The sequence below is a fragment of the Homo sapiens genome, chromosome 10, assembly GCF_000001405.40.
Source record: "Homo sapiens chromosome 10, GRCh38.p14 Primary Assembly".
Classification (NCBI taxonomy): domain Eukaryota; kingdom Metazoa; phylum Chordata; class Mammalia; order Primates; family Hominidae; genus Homo; species Homo sapiens.
The window spans coordinates 66,893,302-66,906,387 of NC_000010.11; the positions used below are offsets into that span (position 1 = coordinate 66,893,302).

Consider the following 13,086-nt stretch of genomic DNA (forward strand, 5'->3'; position numbering starts at 1 on the left):
ACATAAAAGAATAACTAAATAAACTAACAAGTGATCCCCAGAGAGAAGCTGTCTTAACAAGAATGTTTAATTTTGGCCCTCTGAGTTCTTCTAGAAGGATCTAAATAATTATGTGTAATGTCTCTAACAACCAGAGAATTGCCAATAAAAGAAATTCAATAAACTCAGTCTAAAGCATAGATTAAGGTACAAACTTTCTAGGGGAGACAGGCCAAGAGAATATTGTAAACAACAGAATTTCAAAAAAAAAAAAACCCATTTAATTACAGTGACTTGCACTTACTAGCTACTTATGAGTGTTGATGACAAAGACTAAGAAAAGTAAGATTTACAAGATAAGATTAGAGAATTGTTTACTCTGTCCAGCAAATCAATGGGGGGAAAATATGAGGGAAACCTAATGTACTCAAATTCAATGCAAGATGAATCTTTTCAGTACTGAATGAAATACTCAAATTATTCTGGCTACATACTAAGTCCTTTTGATTTGTCGTGGATACTACCTAAAAGAACACAGATAATCAAGACTGAGTCCAAGGAAGTCCTTCTGCCAGAGGTCAGCAGAAAAAGTTTACAAGTTCTTTGCAATAGCAGCACAATTTTTCTCATCCTTATGTTTTTTGTATCTAATGCTGTAAGAAAAGCAATAGGTGTTTAATATATGTATTTTTAAAATTCTCTGAATCAACTGGTATCATCTACAAATTTATTTTTGGAGAATAAATCATAACAGAAAGAAAAAAGTTATTGCATGTTACCTTAAATCATGTGTCTAACAAAATATATACAAATAAAACAAAAATATTAATTAGGTGTTTATCCATGAATTTATTAGATGGTGTCACATGTTCTCAAAACAACTTCAGAAGTAATTTATACACGTTAATTTTTATAATTAAAAAAAAGAAAGCTGAGTTGCAGAGATGGTTAATAACTTGAGCAGAGTTTTACAGGTAAAGGAGTTTGAACAGAACTCATGACAGGGAACAATACCGGAAACCATATTCTATCCACTTTATCACTCTAAAGTCTATCCAGAACCCTGATTTTCTGTTTCTTTAAGTTGCTTGTTCTTATGTCTTCTTATATAAGCCTTTATTTTACAAGCTTCCCTCTCTCTTCCTTTCTCTTAAATATGTCAAAATGTTACAAAATATCTGACTCAAGCTTGTTTCTTCATTGAGAAGATTTTAAAAGTTATCTAAAAGACAAAAGAAAGAACTTAAAGATATAAAATAAGGGCAACTTAATATAGTATAAACAAAATATTTTTGTAACCGGATGTTAAAAAAATAATAAAACATTTTAGTATAGGAGTCTATATACTTACTGAAAAATTAATTTTCTTATTCCTCATATTTGTGTGAATGTATATTTTAATTAAGACATTTGCAATTATATTTCTGATAATACGTATCACTGATTACATTGTAGATTTTTTCAAAGCACAACAAGCTCAACAAAGAAAGGAAAGACATAGAACTATGCAGTTTGGGCTTTATTTATGCATAATTAAAACCAATTAGCTGTGGCACCAAATCAAAAAATCTTGTTTCCCTTGAAGCAAGTCTTTGTAGATACTAATACTGTAATTTATGTGTATATATAGTAGGCGTTTCATTTGCAAGAAGTTTAGAAAATGATCAGAGCATTTTCAATATTGAAAAATGAAGAAATTCACAATAAATTATATATATTTATATATAATTGTGCCATTGGCGAGAGCTATAGAGAAAAAGTGAAACAAATAAACAAAAAAAAAAAAAAAAAAGAAAGTGTCCTACTTGGAAATGTAGCCCCTGAAGAAGATGCATCCTCAATTCCATCTTTCACTTCTCTAGAGCATAGAAGGGTCTAGAACTAAATATAATCCTTTCGGAGTGACCTCTGGTTACATTGGGTCTCAAAGTCCCAAAAGCTATGCCCCAATTCTCACACTTTATTGTGTGAGACAGGAGGCATGAATTGCAGTCTTTTTGTTACAAACCAGCTGTGTCACTATATCTTGCAAGACTGCAGGTACCTCATCCGTCAAACATTGGGTATCAATGGATCTTCAACCAATGCCTTTAAGAGTACTCAAACTTTTATGAAGTAGATCAAAAATGGATTATCAGTAAAATCAAGAAAGATTTGTTCATTAAGCGGGAAAATGTTAATATTAAAAATTTCTTAATATAAAATGTTCTTTCACATATTATCTTCACCTTTATTATCTTTCAGCTTCTTTCTTTCTTTTATATTCCAGGAGAGAGACATGGTATGCTATTACAATTAACAGCACCCACCCTGGAGTCAGACTGCCTACATGTGAATCCCTACCATTCACCACCTATAATTGATACAGTCCATTTCTTTATGCCTCAGTTTTCCTCGTTTATAAAATGAGGATAATACAAGTGCTTCTTTATAAAGAAGCCAGGAGGATTAATGGAAGTAATACACATAAAGCACTAGAACAGTACAGACCTAAGCATCACATAAACAATAGTTGGGCCAGGCATGGTGGCTCACGCCTATAATCCCAGCACTTTGGGAGGCCAAGGTGGGAGGATAACCTGAGGTCAGAAGTTCGAGACCAGCCTGACCAACATGGAGAAAACCTGTCTCTACAAAAAAAAAAAAAAAAAAAAAGAACACACAGAATTAGCTGGGCATGGTGGCACATGCCTGTAATCCAAGCTACTTGGGAGGCTAAGGCAGGAGAATTGCTTGAACCCAGGAGGTGGAGGTTGTGGTGAGCCGAGATTGCGCCATTGCACTCCAGCCTGGGCAACAAGAGTTAAACTTCATCTCAAAAAAATATAAAATAAAATAAAATAAAATAGTTGCCATAAACAATGCATACAATAGGAACAAGTTTAGCACAAGATCTGATATTTATTCTAAAATTCAAAGGTAAATACTGCATGGTGCTCCACAAAGAGTGCCATGACTTTCTTGTGCCTTACAACTGAATATATCCTTCCTTCTAGGCCTAAATAGCTATAACTCTGTTATTTAAGTAGGCTAATGGACTCTATAAAACAGAATTCATATTTTGTTTCTTTCATATTTCTAGATTACATAACAAGTTTAGGGGGTGTGGTTAGCCAGATGATGGATAATTGGGCCACAGCTTTGTTTGTTTTTGTTTATTTACACTAATAATGATATTTTATTAAAGGCTGCAAATTTTATGGTGTATCCAACAGGCTGTGTTCTGATATTTAAGAACCTGACTGACAGTAACATGGACTACAGATCATTTCTTAAATAATGCTGGTAAATAACTGAATGAAGAGTGGTTTTTATAAAACCTAACTCCTGCCTAAAAGGTTCCTTTTTTTCCCTTTCTGGGCCAGTGAGAATCTTCCAGGCCACACCCATAGTACAAGGACTTCACCAGTCACGGCCTTCCTCATCTGTTTCTCTAGCCTCCTCTTGCTAGCGTCCATGCTCTCATTTCATCATCCATGGGACTTCTTGTATGCCTTTCCCTCTTCCTGAACCTTCCTGTTTCTACCTTTAACCTGGTTAACTTCTGACCATTCTGTAGGAGTCGGCTCAAGGCCTCTCAGTCTTGAGTTTTGTGTTCCTTGTTGCGCTCCTGCAGTAGCACCCCATGCTCACCTCCATTAGTCCTTACCATTGAGGAGCAATCCTTGCTTTAAGTGAATTCTCTGCTACTGCATCTGAAGCTCCATTCTGACAGAAGCTGTGGTGTATTAATCTTAGTATCCAAGAACATCACCCCTACTTTTATTGAGTTCTCAGCAAAAGTTTATTGAATGAATGAATGAGATTACCCATCCTGAATCCTGATAGGTCTCATGCTTAAAATGTCTGCTTTGTGTGAAAAAAATGAGAAATATTACTAAATATTGTTATAATATATTATTCCTATGAAAATAAGCAAAGTGTTTAAGCATATACAGTATGCTACCTTTTATATATATAGGAAAATATAAAGATGTGTGTGTGTATGTGTGTACATATATATATTTTAAACCAAAAATTAATAAAAGTGGGGATATCCATGGGAAGAAAAGGGACAAAGTAAAGCAAACAAGATAAGTTACACTTCTCCAAATGTGCTTTACTTTGAGGTTTTGACTTTGGAAACATGAAAATGTTTCAAATAATTATTAAACAAAATTAATTCAAAGTAAAACAGTAATTCATAAAAATTAAAAGAAAATTTAAAAAGGGAATATAACTGTGTATGGATTGGTAGTTTAACCAACAACAAATTATTTTAAAAGGCAAAAACCAATAACTTGATTGTATACTCCTGGTGGGTATTTTCTAAGGACAATGAAAAATGCAAGGAAATCTTAAATCATTTTTATTCATCAAATTGTTAATAATATGAGTTACTCTTAGAATACTATTAAATTGTTGCATATATAGAATCATATAAAACTAACACTTTTAGTTTAAGAGAAAAGAGATAAACATATGAATTAAAATTGAAAACAAAAACCTATAAACTCAAACTTAAATTAGAAGTATAAAAATATCAACATAAACATGCAAAATATTTCTCTTTCAAAACTTCTCTTCAGAAAAGACCTAGAAACAGTGACTAAGTGAGAAATGAACATTTCCAGTACCTGGACTGTGGATACAAAAGGAACCAAGGTGCCTTATTGATATGGTTATGTCCTGGTCAGGTCAGAAAATATAAGAGAAGAGGCTAATTTGTCCTACCAGAAAGTGAAAATGTGCTAATGACTAGTGGAATCATATCAAAAGGACTCAGGAGCAAAAGTGAAAGAATTCCTATTGGCAAATGAGATAAACTGAACATCATAAGGAACAATAACTGCAATGGATTGAAAAATACCAAATATCACAAAATCTATGCAGTCATAATGACATTTAAAAACAACTCAATGGTCATATCTACGGAATTTTAGAGAACCAATCACTTATCATTAGAGAGAGTAGCTTGCATTATTTCTGCCTTCTCTGTACAAAATGTGACTCAATATAAATACACACATAATATAGTAAGGTTGTTCTTTGTAGAATCAGGGATTTCAGAATAAAAATCCTAAAATTCATATGGAACTACAAAGTATCTGTAAAGCTAAAGCAATTTTGAGAGAGAAGAACAAAGATTGAGGCATCATATTTCCTGACTTCAAAATATACTACAAAGCTACAATAGTCAAAACAGTATGGTGCTGGCAACAAACAAGCAAACAAACAAAAAACAGACAGACCAATGGAACAGAATAGAGCATCCAGAAATAATACCACACACATATACTTAACATGAGTGCCAAAAAATACACAATGAGGAAAGATAGCATCTTCAACAAATAATGTTGAGGAAACTGGATATCCACATGCAAAGAACAAAACTGGATCCTTACCTCACACTAACTTACCACACACTAGACACAAAAATCAACTCAAAATAGATTACAGATTTACATGTAAAATCTGGCAATGTAAAACTCCTAGAAGAAAATATAATGGGAAAGTTTCATGACACTGAGCTTGGCAATGGGGCAATGATCTCTTGGATATGATACCAGAAGCTCATGCAACAAAAGCAAAATTAGATGACTGGGACTACATCAGGCTTAAAAGCTTCTGCACTGCAAAGAAAACAATAAACAGAATGAAAAGGTAATCTATGGAATGAGAGAAAATATTTACAAATCACATATCTGATAAGAGATTAATATCCAAAATATATGAGGAACCCCTACAATTCAACAGCAGAAAACTAAATTATCCAATTAAAAATGGGCAAAGGACTTCAATAGACATTTCTTCAAAGAACACATAAACATGGCAAACAGGTTATATCAAACAGTAACTTCACTAACTATAAGGGAAATGCAAATCAAAATTATGAGTTATCGCCACACACCTGCTAGGATGGCTATTATAGAAAAATACAACAACAACTCAAATGTCAGCAAAGATATGGAGAACCTGGAACCTTTGTCCACTGTTAATGAGAATGTAAAATGACACAGCTTTTGTGGAAAACAGTATGGAGTTTCCTCAAAAAATAAAAACAGAATTACCACATGACCAAGCAATCCCACTTCTGGGAATATATTCAAAAGAACTGAAATCAAGATGGTCGTTTCCAAGATGGCCAAATAGGAACAGCTCCGGTCGGAAGCTCCTAGCAAGATCGACGCAGACCTGCATTTCCAACTGAGGTACCTAGTTCATCTCATTGGGACTGGTTGGACAGTGGGTGCAGCCCACGGAGGGTGAGCCAAAGTAGGGCGGGGCATTGCCTCACCCAGGAAGTGCAAGGGTTCGGAGGATTTCCCTTTTCTAGACAAGGGAAGCCATGACAGACTGTACCGGGAAAAACGGTACACTTCCCCCCAAATACTGTGCTTTTCAATGGTCTTAGCAACCGGCAGACCAGGCGATTCCCTCCCATGTCTGGCTCAGCAGGTACCACGCCCATAGAGCCTTGCTCACTGCTAGCACAGCAGTCTGAGATCAACCTGCCAGGCTGCAGCCTGGCAGGGGGAGAAGCATCTGCCACTGCTGAGGCTTGAGTAGGTAAACAAAGCAGCCAGGAAGCTCAAACTGAGCGGAGCCCACCGCAGCTCAACAAGGCCTACTGCCTCTATAGACTCCACCTTTGTGGGCAGGGCATAGCTCAACAAAAGGCAGCAGACAACTTCAGACTTAAAGGCCCCTGTGTGACAGCTCTGAAGAGAGCAGGGGTTCTCCCAGCACAGTGTTTGAGCTCTGAGAACAAACAGACGGCCCCCTCAAGTGGATCCCTGACTCTGTGTAGCCTGACTGGGAGGCACCTCCCAGTAGGGGCCGACAGACAACTCATGCAAGTGGCTGCCCCTCTGGGACAAAGCTTCCAGAGGAAGGATCAGGCAGTAATATTTTCTGTTCTGCAATACTTGCTGTTCTGCAGCCTCCACTGGTGAAACCCAGGCAAAAGGGGCTGGAGTGGACCTCCAGCAAACTCCAACAGACCTGCAGCTGAGGGGCCTGACTGTTACAAGGAAAACTAACAAACAGAAAGGAATAGCATCAACATCAACAAAAAGGACATCCCCAATAAAACCCCATCTGCAGGTCACCAATGTCAAAGACCAAAGGTAGATAAAACCACAAAGATGGGGAGAAACCAGAACAGAAAAGCAGAAAATTTCAAAAAAACAGAGTGCCTCTTCTCCCCCAGAGGATCACAGCTCCTCGCCAGCAATGGAAGAAAGCTGGACGGAGAATGACTTTGACAAGTTGACAGAAGTAGGCTTCAGAAAGTCGGTAATAACAAACTTCTCTGAGCTAAAAGAGCATGTTCTAACCCATGGGAAGGATTAGAAAAAAAACCTTGAAAAAAGGTTAGATGAATGGCTAACTAGAATAAACAGTGTAGAGAAGACCTTCAATGGCCTGATGGAGCTGAAAACCATGGCATGAGAACTTCATGACACAGGCACAAGCTTCAGTAGCCAATTCGATCAAGTGGAAGAAGGGATATCAGTGATTGAAGATCAAATTAATGAAATAAAGCAAGAAGACAAGATTAGAGAAAAAAGAGTAAAAAGAAATGAACAAAGTCTCCAAGAAATATGGGACTATGTGAAAAGACCAAATCTACATCTGATTGGTGTACCTGAAAGTGACACGGAGAATGGAACCAAATTAGAAAACACTCTTCAGGATATTATGCAGGAGAACTTCCCCAGTCTAGCAAAGCAGGCCAACATTCACATTCAGGAAATACAGAGAACACCACAAAGATACTCCTCGAGAAGAGCAACTGCAAGACACATACTTGTCAGATTCACCAAGGTTGAAATAAAAGAAAAAATGTTAAGGGCAGCCAGAGAGAAAGGTCGGGTTACCCACAAAAGGAAGCCCATCAAACTAACAGCGGATCTCTCAGCAGAAACTCTACAAGCCAGAAGAGAGTGGGGGCCAATATTCAACATTTAAAGAAAAGAATTTTCAACACAGAATTTCATATCAAGACAAACTACCATTCATAAGTGAAGGGGAAATAAAATCGTTTACAGATAAGCAAATGCTGAGAGATTTTGTCACCACCAGGTCTGCCTTACAAGAGCTCCTGAAGGAAGCACTAAACATGGAAAGGAACAACTGGTACCAGCCACTGCAAAAACATGCCAAATTCTAAAGACCATAGATGCTATGAAGAAACCACATCAATTAACAGGTAAAATAACCAGCTAACATCATAATGACAGGATCAAATTCACACATAACAAAATTAACCTTAAATGTAAATGGGTTAAATGCCCTAATTAAAAGACACAGACTGGCAAATTGGATAAAGAGTCAAGACCCATCAGTGTGCTGTATTCAGGAGACCCACCTCATGTGCAGAGACACACATAGGCTCAAAATAAAGGGATGGAGGAAGATCTACCAAGCAAATGGAAAGCCAAAAAAAAGCAGGGGTTGCAATCCTAGTCTCTGATAAAACAGACTTTAAACCAACAAAGATCAAAAGAGACAAAGAAGGCCATTACATAATGGTAAAGGGATCAATTCAACAAGAAGAGCTAACTATGCTAAATATGTATGCACCCAATACAGGAGCACCCAGATTCATAAAGCAAGTCTGTAGAGACCTACAAAGAGACTTAGACTCCCACACAATAATAATGAGAGACTTTAACACACCACTGTCAATATTAGACAGATCAATGAGACAGAAGGCTAACAAGGATATTCATGGTTTGAACTCAGCTCTGTACCCCCAAGCGGACCTATTAGACATCTACAGAACTCTCCACCCCAAATCAACACAATATACATTCTTCTCAGCACCACATTGCACTTATTATAAAACTGACCACATGATTGGAAGTAAAACACTCCTCAGCAAATGTAAAAGAACAGAAATCACAACAAACTGTCTCTCAGACCACAGTGCAATCAAATTAGAACTCAGGGTTAAGAAACTCACTCAAAACCACACAGCTACATGGAAACTGAGCAACCTGCTCCTGAATGACTACTGGGTAAATAACGAAATGAAGGCAGAAATAAAGATGTTCTTTAAAACCAGTGAGAACAAAGACACAATGTACCAGAATTTTGGGACATATTTAAAGCAGTATGTAGATGGAAATTTATAGCACTAAATGCCCACAAGAGAAAGCAAGAAAGATACAAAATCGACACCCTAACATCACAATTAAAAGAACCAGAGAAGCAAGAGCAAACAAATTCAAAAGCTAGCAGAAGGCTAAAAATAACTAAGATCAGAGCAGAACTGAAGGAGATAGAGACACAAAAAAACACTTCAAAAAATCAATGAATCCAGGAGCTGGTTTTTTGAAAAGATCAACAAAATTGATAGACCACTAGCAAGACAAATAAAGAAGAAAAGAGAGAAGAATCAAATAGATGCAATACAAAACGATAAAATGGATATCACCACCGATCCCACAGAAATACAAACTACCAGAGAATACTATAACACCTCTATGCAAATAAACTAGAAAATCTAGAAGAAATGGATAAATTGCTGGACACATACACCCTCCCAAGACTAAACTAGGAAGAAGTTAAATCTCTGAATAGACCAATAAGAGGTTCTGAAATTGTGGCAATAATTAATAGCATACCAACGAAAAAAGTCCAGGACCAGACAGATTCACAGATGAATTCTACCCGAAGTACAAAGAGGAGCTGATACCATTCCTTCTGAAACTATTCCAATCAATAGAAAAAGAGGGAATCCTCCCTAACCCATTTTATGAGGCCAGCATCATACTGATACCAAAGCCTGGCAGACACACAACAAAAAAAGAGAATTTTAGACCAATATCCCTGAAGAACACCGATGCAAAAATCCTCAATAAAATACTGGCAAACCGAATCCAGCAGCACATCAAAAAGCTTATCCACCATGATCAAGTCAGCTTCATCCCTGAGATTCAAGGCTGGTTCAACATACACAAATCAGTAAACATAATCCATCACATAAACAGAACCAACGACAAAAAACATACAATTATCTGAATAGATGCAGAAAAGGCCTTCGACAAAATTCAATAGCCCTTCCTGCTAAAAACTCTCAATAAACTAGGTATTGATGGAATGTATCTCAGAATAATAGGAGCTATTTATGACAAACCCACAGCCAATATCATACCGAATGGACAAAAACTGGAAGCATTCCCTTTGAAAACCGGCATAAGAAAAGGATGCCCTCTCTCACCACTCCTATTCAACATAGTGTTGGAAGTTCTGGCCAGGACAATTAGGCAAGAGAACGAAATAAAGGGTATTCAGTTAGGAAAAGAGGAAGTCAAATTGTCCCTGTTTGCAGATGACATGATTATATATTTAGAAAACCCCCTTGTCTCAGCCCAAAATATCCTTAAGCTGATAAGCAACTTCAGCAAAGTCTCAGGATACAAAATCAATGTGCAAAAATCACAAGCATTCCCATACACCAATAACAGACCAACAGAGAGCCAAATCATGAGTGAACTCTCATTCACAATTGCTACAAAGAGAATAAAATACCTAGGAATCCAACTTACAAGGGATGTGAAGGACCTCTTCAAGGAGAACTACAAACCACTGCTCAATTAAATAAAACAGGACACAAACAAATGGAAGAACATTCCATGCTCATGGATAGGAAGAATTTACATCATGAAAATGGCCGTACTGCCCAAGGTAATTTATAGATTCAAAGTCGTCCTCACCAAGCTACCAATGACTTTCTTCACAGAATTGGAAAAAACTACTGTAAAGTTCATATAGAACCAAAAAGGAGCCTGCATAGCCAAGATAATCCTAAGCAAAAAGAACAAGGTATCACACTACCTGACTTCAAACTATACTACAAGGCAACAGTAACCAAAACAGCATGGTACTGGTACCAAAACAGATATATAGACCAATGGAACAGAACAGAGGCCTGAGAAATAACACATCCACAGCCATCTGATCTTTGACAAACCTAACAAAAACAAGAAATGGGGAAAGGATTCCCTATTTAATTAATGGTGCTGGGAAAACTGGCTAGCCATATGTAGAAAGCTGAAACTGGATCCCTTCCTTACATCTTATACAAAAATTAATTCAAGATGGATTAAAGACTTAAATGTAAGACCTAAAACCCCAAAAACCCTAGAAGAAAACCCAGGCAATACCATTCAGGACATAGGCATGGGCAAAGACTTCATGACTAAAACACCAAAAACAATGGCAACAAAAGCCAAAATAGACAAATGGGATCAAGTTAAACTAATGACCTTCTGCACAGCAAAAGAAACCATCATCAGAGCGAACAGACAAGCTACAGAATGGGAGAAAAATTTTACAATCTACCCATCTGACAAAGGGCTTATATCCAGAATCTACAAAGAGCTCAAACAAATTTACAAGAAAAAAACAAACAACCCCATCAAAAAGTGGGCAAAGGATATGAACAGACACTTCTCAAAAGAAGACATTTATGCAGCAGCCAACACACACTTGAAAAGATGCTCATCATCACTGGTCATCAGATAAATGCAAATCAAAACCACAATGAGATACCATCTCATGCCAATTAGAATGGTGATCATTAAAAAGTCAGGAAACAACAGATGCTGGAGAGGATGTGGAGAAATAGGAACGCTTTTACACCGTTGATGGGAGTGTAAGTTATTTCAACCATTATGGACGACAGTGTGGCAATTCCTCAAGGATCTAGAAGTAGAAATGCCATTTGACCCAGCCATCCCATTACTGGGTATATACCCAAAGGATTATAAATCATGCTACTATAAAGACACATGCACACGTGTGTTTATTGTGACACTATTCTCAATAGCAAAGACTTGGAACCAACCCAAATGTCCATCAATAATAGATTGGATTAAGAAAACGTGGCACATATACACCATGGAATACTATGACGCCATAAGAAAGATGAGTGCATGTCCTTTGCAGGGACATCGATGATGCTGGAAACCATCATTCTCAGCAAACTATCACAAGGACAGAAAACCAAACACCACATGTTCTCACTCATAGGTGGGAATTGAACAATAAGAACACATGGACACAGGGCAGGGAACATCACACTCTGGGGCCTATTGGGGGTTGGAGGACTGGGGAAGGGATAGCATTAGGCGAAATACCGAATGTAAATGACGAGTTGATGGGTGCAGCAAGCCAACATGCCACATGTATGCCAATGTAACAAACCTACATGTTGTACACATGTGCCCTAGAACTTAAAGCATAATTTTTAAAAAATTGAAATCAAGATCTTGAAGAGATATCTGCCCTCCCATGTTAATTGCAGCAATATTCGTAATAGTCAAGATATAACAAGCACCTAATTGCCCATTGATCATGACTAGATAAAGAAAAACATGGTATATACACATAATGGTGGAGTAGTGTTTGGCCTAAAAACAGAAGGAAATTTTGCTACATGCATTACGCTAAGTGAAATAAGCCAGTCATGGAAGGACAAATACATAATTTCACTTACATGAGGTATCTAAAATAGTCAAATTCACAGAGAGTAAATGGTGGTTGCCAGGCATTGGGTGAGGAGGAAAGAGAAAATTGCTTTTTAATAGCTATAAAGATTCATTTATAAAAGATAAATAAATCCTACAGATCTGTGTACAACATTGTGCCTATAGTTAATAATACTGTTTTGTGCACTTAAAATTTTGTTAAGAAGTAGATCTCATGTTAAGGGTTCTTACCATAATAAAAATATTTTAATAAAAACTTTAGAATTCCAGCTAATAAATGAAAAAGGAATAACAGAATATTACTATTTTACAATCTCTGTTGAACAAATAGATCTATGTAATAATCATCAGTGACTACTAAAGCATTAGATGAATAGTTGACAGGGAACTTGATAATGGGTGAATCAGGCCAACCACACTTAAATCTAAGGATCAATCTTAACACCATAACGAAGAGATATTAGATATTATGGGCTTCCTGATAGAATGCAGTAGAAGGAACTCAGCATCTTGAATGAAGTATTCTTGCCAAAACATCAAACCTGGATCTGATCAAAACTCTATGCCTAGAAATAGCTTACAGGAAGCAAAGGATCAGAGGAAAATTTTAAGCCATATCATGGAG

At 36.9% G+C, this 13,086-nt stretch overlaps 1 protein-coding gene and 1 long non-coding RNA gene across 8 annotated transcripts in view; both read right to left on the reverse strand.

Annotated features, from left to right (window-relative positions):
• Positions 1-13,086, reverse strand: part of CTNNA3 (catenin alpha 3) — a 1,851,072-nt gene that overhangs the window by 980,779 nt on the left and 857,207 nt on the right. The window lies entirely within an intron of this gene.
• Positions 809-13,086, reverse strand: part of LOC101928961 (uncharacterized) — a 118,044-nt gene continuing 105,766 nt past the window's right edge. Inside the window, exons 6-7 of the long non-coding RNA NR_111911.1 lie at positions 3,629-3,828; positions 809-1,201 (exon numbers count right to left, since the gene is read on the reverse strand). This is a non-coding gene — a long non-coding RNA (uncharacterized LOC101928961). The remainder of the gene's footprint in view (positions 1,202-3,628; positions 3,829-13,086) is intronic.